Genomic DNA, 17984 nt, shown 5'->3' on the forward strand with positions numbered 1-17984 from the left:
ACTCTTTTCCACATGAGACTCTTCCAGGAGCCCTTCTGCAGATGTCTGCTGGCCTCTTCAACCCTGTGCCCCTCAAGGCATCCCCTACAGGTCCTCCTCTTTCCTAGCGGGAGTCCACATCCCTGGGACAGCACAGAGCATTGTCACTTTCTGTTCCGCCCCTGGCAGCTGGACCCGCCAAGGCTTCTCTCTACAGTCAGATGTCTCTGGGCTTAGAAGATGTACTCTGAGACTGGGGACCCAGGCCTGGACAGGCCACTGCCTTACCCAGTAGCTTCGTGCAAGTCACCTGTATTTGAGACTCAGCTACCTGCTCTGCAGAACTGCAGTAACGGTGTGGATCCATTGACTTCAGAGGGTAAGATGGCCCTGACTCTCGTGCCTGAGTTTCTAAACTGTGAGACAGTGGCTGCTCTACCAGTTAGAAATCAGAAGTTTTAGTCTATCCTGCTGTTCGCTTATTCAGCAAGTATTTGTCAACAGCTATGGTGTGTGCCTACCCAGGCACTCAGACTCAGCCACAGTCTACAGACCTCCCGCTTCCTGACCACTTGCTCTGAAAATCTGGGTTGTGATCTCAAAACCTAAAGACTTCCCAATCCCACGTCCTGACCTCCGTGTCTTGTTTGGAATATCGCAACCCCCAATCCTGTACCCCCAGTCCTGTGCCCACCTCCACACACACTGCCGCTCTGTCCGACTCAGTACATAGATGTGTGGCTTCTGGCCCCACAAGGTAGGAGTGTGGGTGAGTGTGTATTCGGGTGTGAGTGCCCCTGAGAGTGTAAGGCTGTGTGAATATAAGGATGTGGAGTGTGGGTGTGTATCTGAGTGTGTTTGAGCGTGTGTGTGTAATGAGTGAGAGTCGCTGTCAGGGCTTGTTTGACTGTAGTTGGGTCAAGTATGGAGTGAGTGTGCCATGTGTGGGGGTGTGGATGAGCCAGTGTGGGTGTGCATGATTTTGTGTGAGGGTGTGCAAAGCCTCAGTCCCTCATCAGTCAAAGACACACCCTCACGTGCATGTGGGCACATATGCATTCCAAGGGTCGAAGGTGGCTAAGCTGTAAGCCCATCTTCCGATAAGGGAAGACTTTGTCCACAGGCCAGGGATCACTCTCCCCTCCCCACCCCAACATGGAAGTGGGGATCCCCCAGCTAAAAGTTGCCTCTGTCAGGAACGAGCACCCTGAGACTGCGGCCCACGGCCCACCTCCCACCTCAAGCCAGGCCGCCTCCTCCTCTCTCTCAGCTGCTTTCCAGCCCAGCCCTGGCAGTGACCCTGGACCGAGAGGCGAAGGACGGGCTGGTGGCCAGACATTCCAGGTGCCTCCCTGGCTGTGGGGGGCATCTCCATGGAGACGAGCAGCTGACCATAACAAGATGATTATCGGGGCTCCCAGGGTCCCCCCCAGCCTCTCCCAAACAGACCTCTTCAGCACTAAGCCGTGCCAGGAAGTGTGACAAGAACCCATTGCTCCTCACAGGAGCTTCTGAAAAAGGCAGAGACCACAGAGCCATGGGATTGTCCCTGAAACAGCTTCCCCGACGCAAGAGACCAAAGAAGTTGGCCAAGGCAATTGGATCTGGTTTAAGGCTTTATCCCCAGAGATCTCTAGAAGCAGGGGACGATGCCACCCATTCCTTCTTCGCCCATTATATTTCACTCTGACCTGGAGGTATGACCAAGGCAATAGAGGGTGGGGGCCCCTAGAGGAGTCAGGGTGGCTGGTTTGCAGCCCACTCATCACCCCACCCCACTGTCAATCTCAGCTGTCCCTAAGACGTGCCGGTTAGTGTCCCCTAGTGTGCTTTGGCCATACACGGGGCTGGGAAGGGGCACCGATCCTTTTCTGGCTCCCAAAGCTGCTGGGTCTCTCAGTGTGTTGGTGAGAGCTGGAAGAGGTCCCCAGAGTCACTGCAATTGTCCTGGTTTCTGCCCTGTTCTTGAGGAGCTAAAGTGGGATGTCAATGAGACCTCAGAAAGAACTTCCTGATAGGAGGCTGTGAAACAAGATTAGTAAACACAGATTGGGATTTTTGCTTGTGCCCTCAACCTTCTGGGATTGCCTCCTGGCCATGATGCCACATACACCACCCTGTGAACCCGTTTCATCGCCATCACCACTCTCAACCCCTACCATATCCCCTGAGCCCCACGACGGGATGGGATGCCCAGCCCTCCCTTTCTCAGGAGCCTGAATTTTCTGGAGAGGACCCAGGGTGGGAAAGAGTCTCTGGCTTCCATCTCCCCTAAGCCCAGGCTGCCTGGGGAAAGCTGACTCCACTGAAGCTGGAGGGACTGGGGCTTAACTCCCAGGCTGACTAAGGCCCCACAGAAGCTCCAAGCTCCCGGAACTAGAGCAGATGGCCTTGGGGAATCAGGCGTCACTTGCAAGCCTGTCTTCATGCTTTCCTTCCCCACGGTACATAGGGAGCTCAGAAGGAGTCATCGTCACCATCGTTATAGCCTGCACTTCCAAAGCCCTTCCTGCCACATCTGGCATTGTTCTGATGCGTGTGTTAATCCACTTACCCCGCCTTGCACAACCTAATGAGGTAGATACTATTACTATCCCCATTTCACAGAGGAAGAAACTGATATTCAGAGAGGTGACATCAGTCAGGGATGCCGCAGGCACAGATAGTGTCCTCTGAGGCTTCACTGAAGAGAGCCTGAGGAGGGACTATTTACAGAGGTGGCGGTAGAGTCAAGGGGACCAACCAGGGACGGCTTGGGGACTAACCAACAGCAGCCGTTCCCCCTCAGCCAGAAGAGGCAAGGGGAGAGCAGTGTTCTAGAATGCAGGAAAAACCAGAGCCCTGGAAAAGGCGTGAATAGCCTGACCTTTATCCCCCCACCCTTCCTGCCCTCTGGTTTCCTAGCTGTGTCTCCCATTTGCCAAACCCAGCTGGAAGCCTGAGGGCAAGAAGGCCCCGGGAATGCCGCCCCGCCCGTAGAGATTAGCCTCCTGAGACACAGAACAGGATAGGGATTGGATCTGGAGCAGATGGAGACTCCCACCCACCCAAGATCCCGTGGCTGGGAAAGGCTCGTTTGGAACCTAGGTAATCTGCATTCAGAGCCCTACTCCCTGAGATGTTGCGAAATGCTCTCTGGGGAAGGGATTGAGAAGACTGGGGTCTAGTGCAGGCTCTGCCGCTCTGCTCTGTGACTCTAGATGAGACTCTAGTTTTGCCTTTACACAAAGAGGAGGTGTCCCCTCCTGGCACCCTCCACAGCCTAGGTGCCCAGACCAGACACATCCTCTGTGTTTCCACTGCCACCCCCTCCCTTACCTCAGACAAACCTGGCACCAAAAGCCAAAGCCCGGGACATGGAGATGCTGAGTCCCTGAGGAGCCCATCCCTAGCTGGGGGCAGACGCACTCATTCCCCTGCCCCCGTCAGACTCCGAGGTTCTACCCAGGAAGCCTCCTTCCAGTCTCCCTGGTGGCCCCAGGGTCTCCATCTCCATATTTCCTTTCTTTGTACTACCACATTCCCAGGGCCCATAGCTCAGGGGTCCTACCCGCAAGACAGGCTCCCTCCTCCCAGCCAGAAGGTTCGAGGCCCTGCTTAGGCCAGCAACCTCACAAACTGTTCCTCGGGGATCCAGGCTGTCTCTGGCCCCTGGGGTCCCTGTACTGGGTGGAGTAGTCCCTCTTCTCCCCTTCCCACCCCACCCAACTCTACCCCACCCACGTTTCCCCAAGCCTAGAAGTGCCCCACCTAGGTTTTCAGAAAAACAAAATCAAGAGGAAAGAGGAAGGAGGGAGCTCATTACCAGGAATTAAGGAGGAGGCCTGCCCTAGGGGAACACAAGTGAGACTTGGCTGGCAGGCAGAGATATGCACTGAGTACATGGAGGTGTACTCAAAGTACACTGAGAGAGGGGCTCAGAGGAACATGCAGAGATGTGATCTGAGGGTCACAGTCCAGGATGTTCACTCAGAGGTACACAAAGAAAGACCCAGACACAAGGCTGGGCACTGTGGTTCATGCCTGTAATCCCAGCACTTTGGGTGGCCAAGGCAGGTGGATCACCTGAGGTCAGGAGTTCGACACCAGCCTGGGCAACACGGTGAAACCCTGTCTCTACTAAAAATACAAAAATTAGCTGGGCGTGGTGGCATGTGCTTGTAATCCCAGCTACTCGGGAGGCTGAGGCAGGAGAATTGCTTCAACCCAGGAGGCAGAGGTTGCAGTGAGCTGAGATCACACCATTGCACTCCAGCCTGGATGACAAGAGTGAAACTCCATCTCAAAAATAATAATAATAATAATAATAAAAGAAAGACCCAGACACAAAGAGTCAGGCAGTAAGAGATACTCGGAAAGAGACAGAGACATGGTCTGCCAGAGGTTTGGACCCACAGAGACATAACCAGATACATTGAAAGAAAGGCACAACCAGAAACACTAAGTGCATTTGCTTGGGTGCACACACACACTGAGGCAGGCACACTAAGAAACAGGAACCAAGCTCAAGTTTCACAGAGACTGATTTTAACCCAAGCAGATCTGAATTTTAAGGAAACATGAGCTCCTCCAAAGTGGGCTGTGGAGATGGCTCAGCACAGGAAGAAGGGACAGAGGTGAGATAGGGGATGCAATTCTCCCTTCATGTCCTCACCAGAAAATGGATTACATGGAATGGGAGAAGATAACTTCCTTTTTTTTTTTTTTTAGACAGAGTCTCACTCTGTCACCCAGGCTGGAGTGCAATGGCATGGTCTCAGGTCACTGCAACTTCTGCCTCCTGGGTTCAAGCGGTTCTCCCACCTCAGCCTCCCAAGTAGCTGGGACTACAAGCGTGTGTCACCACGCCCAGCTAATTTTTGTATTTTTAGTGGAGATGGGGTTTCACTATGTTGGCCGCGCTGGTCTCGAACTCCTGACCTCATGATCCGCCCGCCTCGGCCTCCCAAAGTGCTGGGATTACAAGCGTCAGCCACTGCGCCCGGCTTTTTTTTTTTTTTTTTGAGACGGAGTCTTGCTCTGTCGCCCAGGCTAGAGTGCAGTGGTGCGATCTCGGCTCACTGCAAGCTCCGCCTCCTGGGTTTATGCCATTCTCCTGCCTCAGCCTCCCGAGTAGCTGGAACCACAGGCACCCGCTGCCACGCCCAGCTAGTTTTTTGTATTTTTTAGTAGAGACAGGGTTTCACCGTGTTAGCCAGGATGGTCTCGATCTCCTGACCTCGTGATCCGCCCGCCTCGGCCTCCCAAAGTGCTGGGATTACAGGTGTGAGCCACCGTGCCCGGCCGGGAGAAGACACCTTCCTAAAGGAGATGAAGAGTTGTTTTGCTAGAACTTTCTGACAGCCAGAACTGCTGGTGGAAGGTACACCTGGAGGTGGGGTGAGGAGGTGGGGAGCTTCCCTTCTACCCCTGGAGGGGTGACACAGCTGCTGCCTGGCTCATGTCCCTTTCAGCCCCTGCCCTGACCCACTGCTCCTGGTCCTGGCCGGGCCTTACCCTCTCTCACATGGCCTGACCCTCCAGGCAACACGTTCCCTTGGTTGCGGCCACGTGCTTCTTTGCCCTGCATCCTGTGTGTGAGCCCCTCTTGTCTCCCCTCCATCTCTCCCAAGAGCCTTCTGAAGTCAGGACACAGCACGCTATCGCCCTCACACTTCCTCCCTCCCCTTTCTCGGGAAATTCAGAATCCATGGAAGGAATCTGAGGAGGAAGAGGATATTGAATTCAATGACCTTTAAAAAAAACAGCCTTTAGCATCCTCCCTCCACTGCCTCCCCACCCCCATCTCTGGTTCTGCAGGAAAAATCATGAGGTGACATTTATTGAGGATTTACCATCTGCTAATCACTGTGTTAAGTCCTTTCCATGAATCATCTTCCATTATTTCCTCCTCTCAATATCTCCCAATTCACAGATAAGGGAGGTTCAGGAAAAGAACATGACTACCCCAAGGTCACCCAGCTAGAGAATCCTTGCTGGGCCAGGTGGCAGCACCAAAAGTGCTGCCAACACCCCCTAGGCTGACTGGTCAGGGTCAGCAGCAGGATTTGAGAGAAATGGGTGACAGAAGGACATGGGGCATGCTGGGGAGGACAGCAAGGTGAGGGCAGCCCAGGTGGGACTGGTGTGGCTGGAATGACCCTCTGCAGCCGTATTCCCCTCCCAAGGTTTGCCCTTCCTCCCCCCAGGGCCTGGGAAGGGGACACTCCCTCTGGCTCAGGTCCCTCCAGCATTCCAGACACGCCTCTTGGGAGCTGGGGACAAAGAAGGGATAGAAACCTAAAATGGTATTGCCTTCTCCTGCCCTCACCTCCGTAGGCAGATTCTTGGCTGTGTGACCCTGTGTTTGCCACCCGCCCTCTCTGGACCATGATCTCATCTGTGAAGGCTGGAGAGCAAAAGCTGGCTTAGCTTCTAAAAACCACAATTCGCCTGCCACACCCAGGGATCCTCTGGCTCCCATGGGGTTCGCTCAGAGGAGGGATTGGGTAGGGGATGCCTTCCCTTGTATTGCATGAAGTTTCCCTTGATGAAACTTGAGGAGGGTATGGTAAGGAAGAAGCAAATGAGAAAAGCTTCCTGTTCTCAGGTGTGCCGAGCCCGTTGCTTTTCTGGGCAAGTCAGAGCGCCAGAGTCAGTCTTCCAACCCCCTGCCTTACTGGGCACAGAGGTGCCTCTGTAGAAGTGAAGAAATGACTGAAGAAATGAAGCAGAAGGGGAGATGAGCGTGAACGCAACTGCGGGTCTTGGCACTTAAGACAGCTGACTAGAAGTTGCTGGAAGAGTGAGGCAGAGCAGGGATGGCTTCCCGGAGGAAGAGGCGTTAAAGCAGATCATGAGGACTTTAATGAGCAAAGATGTGAGTTGGGACTTTGGAGCAAAGTCTGAAGACACAAAAACACAGAAACACATAAAGTAGGCTGAGGTGGATGGAGCCATGTGAGAGGAGGGGTAGGCTCCTGACCCTACCTGGAGGTCCTGAACGCCAGATGGAGCATTGTGGATGGTCTCCAGATGGGCACTTTCAGCAGAGGTTTTGAAGAGATCCCTCTGGTTGCTTTGTGGACTGACTGGGGCAGGCCTGGAGGCAGGGAGGCTGCCAGGGGGGCTGTGGCCAAGGTCTGGGTGGAGGTTATGGAGCCTGAATAGCTGCAGGTTGTGGAGGACAATACAGGTTCCCAGTCTGATGGGTCTCCTCCAGGAACAGGGAACTCACCACCTCCTGGGCAGCAGTTCTCCCCATTGGGTAGCTCTGCAGCAAGATCTTCCCTGCATAGGGCTCAAGCCTTTCTGGGGTGATGTGTGGGTACAGGGATTGGGAAGAAGATTCCATTCATTATGCTGGGGGTACCCATGAGGACGGAAACTTGGGGGAAAGTTTGGGACCACTGAGTTCAAACTGAGAGCCTTGGTGAAGAGGCTCTCTAACCTCTCTGTATGACCCCCAGGGTAACCTGACCAGATCAGACACTCAGCCGGGCACCCTGGGTCAGTGTGGGCATGCGGAAGCTCCTTAACTGGCCCCAGAAAAGCAGCAGAGCAAGCAGAAAGATATTTGCACAACTGGAGGTTTTAGGCACATATTTATTTTATTTTTTTTAATATAAAAGTAAAAGAGTACATTGTTGAGTAGAGGATTAAAGGAGTGACGACCCTTTCTAAAGTGGGGTCTCCCATCCCGGATCCCTAAGACTGTAACATCTGCTACATACATTAAAAACAAAACAAAACAAAAGCAAACATGAAACTTATGACCTGACTTCACTCCACCCTTCATGCCTGCATTATGACAGAAACACGTCCCACTGCTCCTACTTATGTATGTACATCCAGAGCTCCAAACCTAAGCTGTGGCCCCCTCCTCCCAGCCCTACCCACATCCACCCTACTTCCCAAAAGCCTGTAGAAGCCCCCACTTAGAAAAAAAGGCAGACATACACATACACAGAAACACATATCTATCTGCAGCTCCTCCATGTGAAGCCCCTGAAACATACACACCCTGGAACTTTCCTCTCCTTATGCACAGATGGACAGGCTGCCTTCCCCTGTCTCTGGGCTCCCCCAATAGCCAGAATCCCTTCCGACTGGTCCCTTGCCCTGAATATCTGGGAACCCCCCCCACACACACACACCCCTGCACACACATGCACACACATGCACACACATGCACACACACACATACCTGCTGCCCATTCTCTTCCCTTGGGAGACAAAAGGATGTATTGACCCAAATTCCGGTTCCACCCCAGCTTAGGGGCAGTGGCCTAAGGTGCTATTTGGGCAAGGTCCAGTGGAAATCCTGAAGGGGCTGTCTCGTGGGGTGAGGGTAGATAGGGAGCTCCTTAGCCTGAAAGGGTGGATCGTGAAGGGGGCTTCTTGGGAGTGGCCCTTGGACAGTCAGTGGATGCTCAAGGCCAGGGCAGCGGAGTGGGGAGATGGCCCCTGCCCACTCAGATCTGCTCCTTGTGCTTCACATGGGCCAGCTTCACATTCTCTTCCTCGTTGGAGGGTGGGGGCTGCTCCAGGTGGCAGCCGATCATCAGCTGGTACACGAAGACACCCGCAATGGAGCCCAGGAGTGGGGACACGATGGGCACCCACCACCAATGCTGGCCGGTCCTGGGGGGACAGACACTCATAGTCAGGGACATGGGGGGCAGGGCAGAGGAGAGGCAGGCTGGGGTGAGCTGGGTGGGGGCTGTACTCACGTGAAGACTGCAGAGCCCCAGCCCGCAAGGGCTGTAAAAAGGCGGGGGCCAAAGTCCCGGGCAGGGTTGACGGCATAGCCGGAGTTGAAGCCCATGGAGGTGCCAATGACCAGGACCACCAGGCCCACGGTGAAGGCCTCCAGGCCTCGGGGGACGGGGTTGTTGTAGGGGTCAACAATGGCCAGCACACACACGATAAGGGAGGCTGTGCCTATGAACTGGGGAGTGGGGAGAACAGGGTGAGCTGCAGCTCCCTCCCTTTCTCTGACCCCTCCTTCCATCCCCCGTCTTCCCTCTAGCTCTTAAACTCTTGTCAGCGCCCGCCCATGCTCTTCTCCTGAAAGCAATGGTGCTAGAATGTCTGCGTGACAAGAACCCGCTGGAGAGCCGCATGTTTTGTAAGTACTTGCCACCATGTTCTGATGCGGGTTACCCCACAGATTGGAGAAACCCTGCTACAGTCGAGGAGTCCTGTCCCCCAACCAGCCCATGAGCTACCAAGGCAACTCGGTCCCCTCCCTGCGTTCCCCTCACACGTCCCCAGCCCATACCTGGTCAAAGAAGCCATTGATCATATCCAAGTGTCCAGAGGGGTAGGTAGCAAAGATGCCGGCTGTGCCATTGGGGCCCGAAACAAAAAGCTGGTTGTCGGCGAAGTGCCAGATTGCATCTGGTGACAGATTAGACACACAGTGAGTCGGGGGAGAGGCCTGAGCCCAGACTTCCCTCTCAGGTGTGCCCTCCCCACCCTCCCATGAGTTATGGGTAAGTAGCAATACTGCTGTATTGCAGCAGGCAGAGGGGGTGGCGTGGGGTGGGGTGGAGGGCCTGAGACTCTGTTATTGCCCAACTTGTTTCTTTCCCTTCGTGCCCCCTACCTTGACCCTGTGCGTGAATGAGTGAGTCATGAGCCCGGGGCCTGGGCAGGTCCTAGCCGTCTGTCATCAAAAGGCCTGGTGCCAGCAGGTCCTGAACAGAGGGACGGGGGTAGTGGAGGAGGACAGGGTGGGGAATGCTTACCATAATACAGCCCAAAAACTATTCCAGCACCCAAGAAGGCTCCCAGCGTCTGTGCCAGGGTGTAGATGGGCAGCTTGATCCAGGGCTCACGAGCCAGGAAGCACATGGCAAAGGTCACGGCAGGGTTCAGGTGGGCCCCTGGGCAGAGGGGACAAGGGACCTATTAGCTGCAGCCTGCCACAGTCGGCAGGCTAGGGTCCCCTGAGAAGGGGTGCAGAGAGGGGTTTCTTGCACAGGATGGCGGTTGGTCTATGTAACAGGTCAGCTGATAATCTCTGATTCCAAGGTGAGAGTCGAAAGTTCTAAGTGTCAAGTTTCTTCTCCACCCTCCTTTCCCAAGGGGCCAAAGCAGAGGCCACAGCTGTGACCTGCCCTTAGGAATGCCAGGACACCTAGTGGGAATGCTATTGAGGGCCAAGGGCTGGGGGCAGGGTTAAGGCCTTACCAGAGACCTGGCCAGCGATGAGGATGCCCAGAGTGACAGCAAAGCCAAAGGCCAGGTTGATGGTGAGGAAACCACCGTGGGTGCCCCGGCTGAGCACAACCTGGGCCACGGAGCCACAGCCAAACATCTGTCAGGAAGAAGAACAGGCAGGGAGGGTGAGGACCAGCAACTCTCACTCCAGAAGGAAGGGGTGAAGCCAGCAACATGCCCACTCGCCACCACTGGGAGGACTAGAGGCGCTTCCTGGAACCCAGCCCAAACCCCTTCTGCTGTAATTGCACTTTCCAGAAAAAGGACACATGCCTTCCCACCCCACTGTCCCAACTCTAATATGAGAGGGCCCTATGGAAAGGGCTGGAAGCAGGGTCTGCGACTGGGATCCTAGAAGATGACTGAACCATCTTCACTGATTTTCCTTGAATTTCAGCAGGCGTAGGTGTAGGGGAACAGCTTTCACCTTAGCACAAGTTTCTCCACAGCCCTTCAGGCCTGGACCATAAAGGTGGGAAGCCTCTCACTCATCCCCCAGCTGCCCCAAAGAAAAGCTCATGTAGGCCCGGTGCAGTGGCTCACACTGTAATCCCAGCACTTTGGTAGGCCGAGGTGGGTGGATCACCTGAGGTCAGGAGTTTGAGACCAGCCTGGCCAACATAGTGAAACCCCATCTCTACTAAAAGTACAAAAATTAGCCAGGCGTGGTGGCAGGTGCCTGTAATCCCAGCTACTCGGGAGGCTGAGGCAGGAGAATCACTTGAAAATGGGAGGCAGATGTTGCAGTGAGCCAAGATTGCGCCACTGCACTTCAGCCTGGGCGACAGAGCGGGACTCCATCTCAAAAAAAAAAAAAAAAGAGTTGAAAAGAAAAGCTCATGTGGTGGTGGTAGTGGTGGCAATGGGCGGCATAAATAAATAGGGAGGAGACCAGAAGTGAGGTTGAATCCACTTCTCCTGAGTCCAGGATGCCAGAGCCCCAGCCTTCACCATGTCCCCCTCAACAACCTCCCCTTCCTTTACCTGTCCCTGTCCCAGCGTCTCCTCTCTCCACCCATGACCTCTCTGCTCTCAGGGGTCCAGATTCCCCACTCAGATTTGGAGGTCCTACAGACAGGGATCTGTGTGGCTCCTCTCACTATCCCCAGCCCGGGACCCAGGGCTGTAGAAATGGGGAGATCGGTTCTAAACTTTCTGCCAAAAATGGGGGAACTAAAAGAGACTAAGAGCCCTGGTGTTCTACAAATATAGAACATACTGGAGCCAGCTGTGGTGGCTCACACCTGTAATCCCAGCACTTTGGAGGCTGAGATGGGAGGATCTTGAACCCAGGAGTTTGAGAACAGCCTGGGCAACATAGTGAGACTTTGTCTCTATTTAAAAAAGAAAAAGAACGTACTATGTCTGTTCCCCTTGTTCAAGCCTGAAAATACTTCTGCAGCAGCTGTAAAGCATTGTTGCCCTGAGCCCCCTGAGTGTCCCTCAAAGCTGCTCCAATGCCTTGCCCTGGTCTCCTCTCCCACCTGCCCATAACTAAAGGTTTTATGCCCACAGAGCAGGCAGTTTCCAGGACCTGTGCTACAGACCTTGTTTATTCTGACGGGTCAGTGCCTGTTGTACTGGATAGTTAAGCATTTTGATTATCATCCCAGAAAGACCAAGAGATAACGGAGAAGCCAGCGGCAATGACATGGGGCAAAGGTGTGCAGGCAGGTGAGAGCAAAGATCAGAGATTGCAGGTGTATGTGTGAGGAGGGGTGGTGGGAGACAGGCACGTGAGGGTCTGAGGCGCCCTGCCCTGCTTGGGAGGCCCTGGCAGCAGCTCCTTGCCTGCCAAAGGCTCAGACCTGGCTCCATCCCAGGACGCCTTGGAGGGAGGAGCTGTCAGAGCCAGTTCCACCACCTTGGGGCTAATCTTCCTCTTCCTCCCCCAACCCCTGCCCTGAGTTCTCGGCCAGCACCGCCCCCTGCCCTCACACCAGGTATCTCAGAGAAAGGGGCTTTCCTCACCCCAAAGCCAACCCTGATTCTGCCACTGCAGGCCTAGGCTCCCAACACGCAGGTAGGCAGGCAGGCACTCACCCACTACAAAGGGATCCCCAGGCCTGCCCCTCCAGTTCATGCAGTCCTTGAAGTTCTGCTTCTCACTGATATCCAATACCTCACATCCATCTGAGTCTGCAACCCTTCCCCTAAAATTTAACACTCTTCTTTTGTGGTCTGGGATAAGCCTGATGATCCTGGGGCTCAGTGGGAGGACTAACGGCTCCTTTGTGAGAGAGTGAACTGAGACTTGGGAGGGAATGAGGAGGCCCCTCTAGGAAAATAGAAGACATCATCCTCCCCTAGCCTGGCTGCTCTAAAACAGGTGGCTGGACTCAGGACTCCGATAGGAGTGAGGGCTCCGAGGCAGGAGAGTGATAAAGGCCACCTCCTATTGCCTTCTTGGCACAGGAGAGAGGGGCTAGGGCTGGCTGATAGGACGACTAATCTTATGGGAGGCTGTGGATAAAATGCCCCCTGTGGCTTCCCCACTTCCTATTCTTGGAAGCCAGAAGTGGGTTTCAGCCCTCCTCTGCCCATAGATCCTGATCCTCAACCATTTGGGGATCCCTACTTGCCCTTAGTTAGGCTTCCTAGTCCACAGTGGGCCAGCTGGTCTGTACTACCCAGGGCTGGGGCAGGAACGGAGTAACCCACTCACTGCAATGTAGCAACTGAACACAGAGGAAAACAGGTGTAACCACATGAGCGGCTGAAAAATCAGAGTAACTGGGACAGGAAATAGAACATAACTGGTGGGTCTGCCAGACCTAAGAAGTGCAAACAGAGTCACTCAGAACAAAACCAGGGTGAAACTGGTGTGACCAAGGAGTAACTAGGACTGAGGAGTAACTCAGGCAGGGAAATGCTCACTCAGAGAACCCACAGAGTAACCAAGAGGCCAGGGAGTAACCAGAATGCTTGTCGTCTTCTGCACAGACGCTGACAGCATCTGTCTGGATAACAGACAGGGCCTGGGAGTCGCTGAGCACCAGGTGAGCAACTTTAGACACGCGTCCTCTGTGCCTGGGCCTAGCTTCCTCCCACCCTTCTACCGTCAGAATCTGCCTCCCTTCCCACTTCGCTGTTCGCAGCCCATGTGGCCTGCACCCTCTGCCCCCACTCGTGCAAACTGTCCTCACTCACTTCAACCTTTGGACTTTTTGAGGCTTAATTATTCATTAGAGGCCAGACACCCAGGACCCAAATAACCTAATAATGGCTCATTTGCCTCCGCCCCCTCCCCTACATCTGGGGGCTGGGATTCTGGGAATCTGGAGGGGTGTGGGAGGCAGGGGAAGTGGCTGGCTGTCCCAGACTGCAAGCGTGACCGCTGCCCCCAGCCTGTTGGCTGAGTCACTTGTGGGAGGGTAAACGATCGGCACTATCACTGGGGAGTAACAGCTGTCATTCTGGCAAGAGTCGGAGCTGTCAGAGAGGGGGTTAGAACCGTGGGGAAGAGGACTTTGGAAGTCAGCTTGATCCTCCGCGGTTAAGCGTGGGGGTCACAGCTGGGGAGGTGGGTCCAGGCTACCTTGGAAAACACAGCCCCTTCGGGGAAGTGAGAGTTTGGGGAGTGCAAGGGCTGGAGAGAGAAGGGCTTCCCCGGCTCCCTCCACTCACCACCAGGATGAGGGTCCCCAGGCACTCGGCCAGCGCCTGTCGGAGCAGCCGGTAGCGGATGTGGAGCATCTCCCCGCAGCGGGACACCAGCTCCTTCTGTCGACCCATGGCGGGGCAGGCGGCGGCGCTGTCGGGCGGGCAGGGGTGGCGGGAGGCGGTGGCGCAGCGAGCAGCGGCCTCCAGCGCTGGTGGCTCCCTTTATAGGAGCGCTGGAGACACGGGCCCCGCCCGCCCTGCAGCCCCGCCCTGCAGTCCCGGAGCGCCGAGGAGTGCGCGCCCCCTCGCCCCCGCCCCACCTCGGCTGGGAGGCTGGTGCGGACGCCGGGTGGAGGGAGCTGCGGGCATGGAGTGTGAGGAGCTTTGAGGGACGGGTGGCCTTCGGAGGGCGCTTAAGGGAGGGGACGTCAAGGGGGCTGAGAGGCTTAGGCAGATCTGAGAGCCAATGGTGGGATTATAGGCAGGGTTCAGGGCCATGGCTGGAGAGGATGCAGCTGTCATAGAGACCACCTGCGCCCTGTGATCACCCCACTTCCTTGCGGGCAGGAGGAGACCTGTCAGAAAGAAACTGGCCGCATCTCTCCAGGATGACTGGACCCAACAGATCCTCAGTTCGAGGCAGGAGGAGGAGGCTGCGAGCCCCAAGTGAGAAGCAACACTGTCTCTTCTGTCAGGACAGATAAGGCACCGACCCTTCAAGGGGACAGCTAGTGTCAGAGGGGCAGCAGTCCAGACTCAGGTGGGCACACAGACACACGTGCTGAGTTCCAACCAGACTTCATGGGCCCTTCTCCCTGTGCTATGAGCACGTCGTGTGTCGCATGTCCTGGCCAGCTATGTCCACAGCTGTGTCTACACATGGCGGATGTCCTGTGTGCCTAATTGTACGGCTGGGCATTCCTCGTGGCTGTGCACATGCCTGTTGAACATGGCTAGGTGACCTAGCTTGTCACACGTGTACCTGCGTGCATTGCTCACATGGCTCCAGAGGCTGAGCTGCAGTTGCCCCGACATGCCACATGCCACATGTTTGCCAGCAGGCTGAGTCCCAGCTGTTTTTAACCCTCTCCTCTCCCATCTGACTTACCCCCAGCCAAGGAAGAGTCTGTCTCTTTTTTTTTTTTAGACGGAGTCTCTCTCTGTCGCCTAGGTGGAGTGCAATGGCGTGATCTCGGCTCCCTGCAACCTCCACCTCCCAGGTTCAAGTGATTCTCCTGCTTCAGCCTCCCGATTAGCTGGGATTACAGGTGCACACCACCATGCCCAGCTAATTTTTGTTTTTTTAGTGGAGATGGGGATTCACCATGTTGACCAGGCTGATTTCGAACTCCTGACCACAAGTTATCCACCCGCCTCAGCCTCCCAAAGTGCTGGGATTACAGGCGTGAGCCACTGAGCCCAGCAAGTCTGCCTCTTTAAGCAAACTTAATTATGGGGGAGTCAGCCCTATCTGAGGGGGATCATGGGACAACCTTGCCCTCTCTCTCTTTTTAAAGAGTAGGGTCTTGCTCCATCACCCAGGCTGTGGTGCAATCACAGCTCACTGTAGCCTCGAACTCCTGGGCCCAAGTGATCCTCCCACCTCAGCCTCCAGAATGGATGGGACTATAGGGACTATGTGCCACCATGACACTCAGCTAATTTTTAAAAATCTGTTGTAAAAATGAGGTCTTGCTATGTTGCCCAGGTTAGTCTCAAACTCCTGGCTTTAAACGATCCTCCCACCTCGGCCTCCCGAAGTGCAACCTTGCCCTCTATGCTGCTTTTAATAACAAGGAAACATCTGGTGGCCTGGGAGCAAACAACATGCCCTTAGGCTGAGCTTCTATGGCAGCATTGCCAGAGGAGATCAAAGAAATCATTTTCCAGAGGGACTTAATCCAGGTGGGCTAATGACCCTGAGGACTTGTCCCTTGAGGGACGAATATGAGAAATAAGGGCCCCCGGCTGGGCGTGGTGGCTCACGCCTATAATCCCAGCACTTTGGGAGGCCGAGGCGGGCAGATCACCTGAGGTCAGGAGTTCAAGACCACACTGACCAACATGGTGAAACCCTGTCTCTACTAAAAATACCAAAAATTAGCCGGGCGTGATGGCGGGTGCCTGTAATCTCAGCTGTTCGGGAGGCTGAGGCAGGAGAATCACTTGAACCCAGGAGGCGGAAGTTGCAGTGACCTGAGATCATGCCATTGCACTCCAGCCTGGGCAACAAGAGCCAAACTCCATCTCAAAAAAAAAAAAAAAAAAAAGGGCTCCCACGGTTCATTGAGAAGCGAGCAGGGCTAGTGCAGAGGTTCTTCTCCCAGAGGGACCAAAAGAGAGAAGGGTTAGTCCTGTCGTCCTTGATCAGAAATGTGATCAGCACCAAGAAAGCCCCAGGGGCCACTGGGACCTACAGTCAAACTATGTTAGGTGACAGGACCATTGACATTTCAGGACAGATAGGCATGGACCCTTCAAGTGGACAGGTTGTGTCAGGAGAGGTAGCAGAAGAAGCTAAACAAGCTCTTAAAAACATGGATGATGACTCACTCCAGCCTCTAGCTCATGGGATCAAACAATCCTCCCACCTCAGCCTCTCAAATAGCTGGGACTACAGGCATGCATCACGATGCCCGGCTAATTTTTGTATTGTTTGTAGAGAAGGGGTTTCGCCATGTTGGCCAGGCTGGTCTGGAACTCCCGAGCTCAAGCAATTTGCCCACCTTGGCCTCCTAGAGTGCTTGGATTGTAGGATTATGAGTATTGCTAAACCCATCTCTTTGGGCATCAACCACCTCTGCCACATGCCTGTAATCCCAGCTACTCGGGAGGCTGAGACAGGAGGATCACTTGAACCCAGGAGGCAGAGGTTGCAGTGAGCCAAGATCACCCCACCTGGGTTCAAGCGATTCTCCTGCTTCAGCTTCCCGAGTAGCTGGGATTACAGGCATGCACCACCATGTCCAGCCAATTTTTTTGTTTTTTGTTTTTTGTTTTTTTTAGTAGAGACGGGGTTTCACCACGTTGGCCAGGCTGGTCTCGAACTCCTGACCTCAGGTGATCCACCCGTCTCGGCCTCCCAAAGTGCTGGGATTACAGGCATGATTCACCGTACCTGGCCTAGATAGGCATGTTAAAAAAGAAAAGAAAAGAAAGGAAATAAGGGCTCCCAGTCCCAGAGGTGGTTCATGCCCAAAGAGATGGGTTTAGCATACACATGAAGTAGATTCACATACATGCAGGTGCTTGCGCATACACACACACAAACACACAGACACACACACACACCCTGTGGTTTGCAGTCACACACTTGCCTATAGACACTGAGCTCTGCTCCCATGATCAGGGATCCCATTCACATGAGAGCCTCGCCATGGGCTCACACATATATAGAACCCCCACATGAGGACTCTAATGACCCTTGACCCAGAAAGATGCACCCTACCCTCCAGGCCTCTATAGGCTGGGAGGCCCCGTGGTGAATCAGGGAGCCATCACTGAGTACCTGCCCTCTGGCCCCACTGCCAGCCTGTGACTCAAGACAGAACCATAGACTCCTGGTGCCAGGGCCCAGATCACAGGCTATGGGAGTGGTAGAGCACCCCTGCCATGCTGCCCCCTTTTCCTCCCACCCTATAATATGCATCCAGCCCATCCCTGCCTCAAGTGGAGCTGCAAAGGCAGCACAGGGCAGAAACTGGCAAGGGACTCCTCAACACCGAAAGAAAATAGGGAAACCCAGCCCACAACACCCCATTGTCACCCTGTCCCATCCTGGGTCTGCTGGCATCCAAATCTAGCCTGGGAACCAGAGCAGGGGAGAAAAACAGGGGAAGCTCTTTCACCAGCAGACACTACACACACTTCTATTTTTTATTTCTTTTCCTCTTCCCTTATAAAAGCAACCTGGAGGCCGGGCATGGTGGCTCGCGCCTACAATCTCAGCTCTTTGGGAGGCTGAGGTGGGCGGATCACAAGGTCAGCAGATCGAGACCATCCTGGCCAATAAGGTGAAACCCCATCTCTACTAAAAATAAAATAAAAAAAAATTAGCTGGGTGTGGTGGTGGGCGCCTGTAGTCCCAGCTACTCGGGAGGCTGAGGCAGGAGAATGGCATGAACCTGGGAGGCAGAGCTTGCAGTGAGCCAAGATGGCGCCACTGCACTCTTGCCTGGGCAACAGAGCGAGACTCC

At 54.6% G+C, this 17984-nt stretch overlaps 1 protein-coding gene across 3 annotated transcripts, besides 4 other annotated features; it reads right to left on the reverse strand.

Annotated features, from left to right (window-relative positions):
• Nucleotides 1677-2178: an enhancer, noted in NCBI's record as "H3K4me1 hESC enhancer chr9:33435285-33435786 (GRCh37/hg19 assembly coordinates)". NCBI's record gives its function as "activates a minimal SCP1, AML or CMV promoter by ChIP-STARR-seq in naive H9 embryonic stem cells {active_cell/tissue: H9 hESC(naive)}" and the evidence as "EXISTENCE:reporter gene assay evidence [ECO:0000049][PMID:30033119]".
• Nucleotides 5070-5308: a silencer, noted in NCBI's record as "fragment chr9:33438678-33438916 (GRCh37/hg19 assembly coordinates)". NCBI's record gives its function as "represses an EF-1alpha promoter that drives an FKBP-Casp9 reporter gene in an ReSE screen in HepG2 liver carcinoma cells {active_cell/tissue: HepG2}" and the evidence as "EXISTENCE:reporter gene assay evidence [ECO:0000049][PMID:32094911]".
• AQP3 (aquaporin 3 (Gill blood group)) lies at nt 7550-13983 on the reverse strand. Of its 3 annotated transcripts, NM_004925.5 has the most exons (6): nt 13813-13983; nt 10156-10282; nt 9711-9848; nt 9242-9360; nt 8691-8908; nt 7550-8601 (listed from the first exon to the last, which is right to left on the reverse strand). In NM_004925.5, the coding sequence occupies exons 1-6, from the start codon at nt 13918-13920 to the stop codon at nt 8433-8435; spliced, it is 879 nt and encodes a 292-aa protein (NP_004916.1). In that variant the 5' UTR covers nt 13921-13983; the 3' UTR covers nt 7550-8432. The 3 variants fall into 3 exon arrangements, with proteins under 3 accessions (NP_004916.1, NP_001305073.1, XP_047279304.1); NM_001318144.2 differs by lacking the exon at nt 8691-8908; XM_047423348.1 differs by lacking the exons at nt 7550-8601; nt 8691-8908 and having other exon boundaries at nt 9569-9848.
• Nucleotides 9136-10335: an enhancer, noted in NCBI's record as "CDK7 strongly-dependent group 2 enhancer chr9:33442744-33443943 (GRCh37/hg19 assembly coordinates)". NCBI's record gives its function as "activates an origin of replication core promoter dependent on BRD2, BRD4, P300/CBP, MED14 and CDK7 cofactors, with strong dependence on CDK7, by STARR-seq in HCT116 cells {active_cell/tissue: HCT116}" and the evidence as "EXISTENCE:reporter gene assay evidence [ECO:0000049][PMID:35650434]".
• Nucleotides 13969-14158: a silencer, noted in NCBI's record as "silent region_19834". NCBI's record gives its function as "represses an Ori minimal core promoter by ATAC-STARR-seq in GM12878 lymphoblastoid cells {active_cell/tissue: GM12878}" and the evidence as "EXISTENCE:reporter gene assay evidence [ECO:0000049][PMID:35858748]".

Source organism: Homo sapiens, chromosome 9 (assembly GCF_000001405.40).
Source record: "Homo sapiens chromosome 9, GRCh38.p14 Primary Assembly".
In the NCBI taxonomy this organism is placed as follows: Eukaryota; Metazoa; Chordata; class Mammalia; order Primates; family Hominidae; genus Homo; species Homo sapiens.

Coding starts and splice junctions, on each gene's coding strand:
- AQP3 (NM_004925.5), bottom strand. CDS start 13,920: ATGGGTCGACAGAAGGAGCTGGTGTCCCGCTGCGGGGAGATGCTCCAC. Junction 10,283..13,812: donor TGGGGACCCTCATCCTGGTG/GTGAGTGGAGGG, acceptor TCTTCCTGACAG/ATGTTTGGCTGTGGCTCCGT. Junction 8,602..8,690: donor TGGGGCTCTGCAGTCTTCAC/GTGAGTACAGCC, acceptor CTGTCCCCCCAG/GACCGGCCAGCATTGGTGGT.